Source organism: Homo sapiens, chromosome 18 (assembly GCF_000001405.40).
Source record: "Homo sapiens chromosome 18, GRCh38.p14 Primary Assembly".
Taxonomy (NCBI): Eukaryota; Metazoa; Chordata; class Mammalia; order Primates; family Hominidae; genus Homo; species Homo sapiens.
The window spans coordinates 25,388,535-25,391,326 of record NC_000018.10 but is presented as its reverse complement, the minus strand read 5'-3'; the positions used below and the strand labels follow the sequence as shown (position 1 = coordinate 25,391,326).

Below are 2,792 nucleotides of genomic sequence, written 5' to 3'. Positions count from 1 at the left end.
ACCAAAGAAGGACCCTTGCCACTGCCTTGCTGCCAGGGTTCTTCTTCGGAACATGGTTGCTCTGTATCAAGTGCCTTTCTTGATGCTGGAAGGTTTCACACCCCACATCCATTGCTGATCTATTGCAGACATGGAAAGGACGTGTTTCTCTCAACTTTCAATTGGCATTTAGTGCTTCAAGCACTGAACCACATTGCTTGTTCACCAAGTGTTTAAGAAAAAAAAAAAGAAAAAGAAAAAAAGAAGCCCCTTTGAAAACAATTCCTTTAGCTTCCACCTGTAGCCCTTACCACAGCCTTGGATTGACTGAGGAAGGTGATTCACTCTATTTCTTATTCTTCCAATATAAGATTCTCAAGCAAAACACTTCTTCCTTACAGGTCTTCTTTCCCCACGCAAATTAACTCATGCAGTCAAAGATCTGGGGAGGGGAGGAAGTCCCACAACTTAGAGTCATTGTCCCATGCTCCTGAATCCCAGTGTAAGTTTGTTACAGCCCTAGATAGCTCTAGTTGAGGAAACTAATGAGGATAGACTGCTGGCCTGAGACGATACCACTAGTAAGCCATGTCCTGAAGGTACCCCTCAAGTTGCCTCCCCACAACAGCCTGCGCCACCCACGCAACATCACTGCACAGGGCTGCCTTTAATCTCCAGGCACAGAATGGCTGCTGAGGTTCCTTCCCTGTGTTTTCCAAATATATTCACACAACCCCCAATTTGCGAGGCTGAGGTCCCTGCAGCTCTCTCCTTAACTCCTGTCACTGCTTACAATTCCAAGTGCCCAATATTAGGCTTCATGGCATTTTATGCAATTTGTACCATAACAAGGTCCGATCTGCCATGAGTTAAGGATGAAAAGTGGCTGCCATAAGGGCTGCAGCTGTTGCTGTTTTAGAAGTTGCCACCTTTTTTTTTTTTTCTTGAGATGGAGTGCTGCTCTGTCGCCCATGCTGGAGTGCAGTGGCACGATCTCGGCTCACTGCAAGCTCCGACTCCTGGGTTCAAGTGATTCTCCTGCCTCAGCCTCCTGAGCAGCTGGGATTATAGGCAGCTGCCACCACACCCAGATAATTTTTTGTGTGTTTTTAGTAGAGACGGGGTTTCACCATGTTGGCCAGGCTGGTCTCGACCTCCTGAGCTCAGGTGATTGGCCTGACTTGGTTTCCCAAAGGGCTGAGATTACAGGCATGAGCCACCGTGCCTGGCCCACCTTTCCATTCTTTTTCTATGTTTCCTCACGTGGATATGGAAACCAGGTAGGATGGTTGTTTCTCAGTGAGGTACCGCATGGTTACCAGGTTCCTCGAAGTTTTATAAACCGCAAACAAGATGTGCTATAATGAACCTCCTCTCTGCAAAACAAATGCCAGCGTGGAGATGAGTCCCCATGTCCATAGAGCTCCTTTTGTTTTGTGACATGGATTTCTTCTCACGCAGGACTGTAACACGTCTGTTTGCATGAGTACGTGCACATTGGATATTAGCAGCCAGTGAGTTTGATTTCTGCATTTAACAAAGAGAGAGCAAGAAGGAAGGGAAAAAAAGATAAAGAGAATGTCTTCTATCCCCAAATAAAAATTTTCTGATTCAATAGTGTTGGAAAAAATCTACACACGTACATTACATGATTTTTAAAAGCTGCACAGTGTGTCTGTCAGGAGTTTGATAATTTTTAAGATATCTTGATGGAACTATATGAATATACTCTTCAAGGTAATAATTAATTCCCTGGGGAGAGCACTTATTAAAAAAAATGGTGTTACTGGATAGGAAAAAAAATACTAAAAAGCTAAAAAATCACCATATAAGCTAGCTGACAGTTAAGTCTTTCAGAAGATTATAGAGGAAAATGTGGGCTTCAAGTGGAGGTCTCTGATTAAGAATTTGATCTTCTAGATAAGCATTGGATAGCAATGTTTTACTCATGTGAGGTCCCATTGAAACATGTCCCAGGGGTTTATCCTAAAGTGCCTCTGGTGCAAAGATGTCTATTCATGTCACACGTAAAGAAACAGTGTAGCAGAAACACACAAAATGGCTCTTGAGATTGTAGAATGTAACCCGAATCTGAAAGTACAAGTAAATTTATAATCTTCATACATATATAGCTGCCATTCAGTATGTATGTAAGTGAAATTATACTACACAGATTTCAATACCTCTAAGATCTTCCATATCAGTCCAAACAGATCTGCAGCATTAGTATTTAATCATCATGACTGTATCAGGATTTGTTTAGCTGGTTCCCTACTGATGAACATTTAGATTGTTTCCAGTTTTTGTTGTTGAAATGATTAATATTAAAGATGATGGGAGCTGGGTGTGGTGGCTCACACCTGTAATTCCAGCACTTTTGGAGGCTGAGGTGGAAGGAATGCTTGGGCCAGGAGTTTGAGGCCAGCCTGGGCAACATAGCAAGACCCCATGTCTTAAAAAATAAAAGATTGTGCTTCATTGAATTTCGTTGTCTTACTAAATCATGGTATTTTGAGAGTATATTCATGGTTATATTTCTCTTGGTGAAACTGTTTGGTCACTTAAAATTTTCTAAATTGTTCTTCAAAAAGGAGGCGTCAAATTGCATTTGCTTCCACAACATGTGAGAGTGTTTAATTGCCACATCCTCACCAATCCTGGTCATTATCATATGGTTTACTTTTTCTCAATACATTGGATGAAAATGGTGTCTCAGTGCAGTTGCTCATTTCAAATTTCAAATCTGCCCTTGTCTCTCCCCTGTTTAGAATGTCTTGAGAGTTTTCCTTCACTCCTGGAATACAGGTTTGCTG

The 2,792-nt window shown here is 41.9% G+C and overlaps 1 annotated feature.

Annotated features, from left to right (window-relative positions):
- Positions 1,856 to 2,056: a silencer, noted in NCBI's record as "peak3080 fragment used in MPRA reporter construct". NCBI's record gives its function as "represses an SCP1 promoter by STARR-seq MPRAs in K562 erythroleukemia cells {active_cell/tissue: K562}" and the evidence as "EXISTENCE:reporter gene assay evidence [ECO:0000049][PMID:32103011]".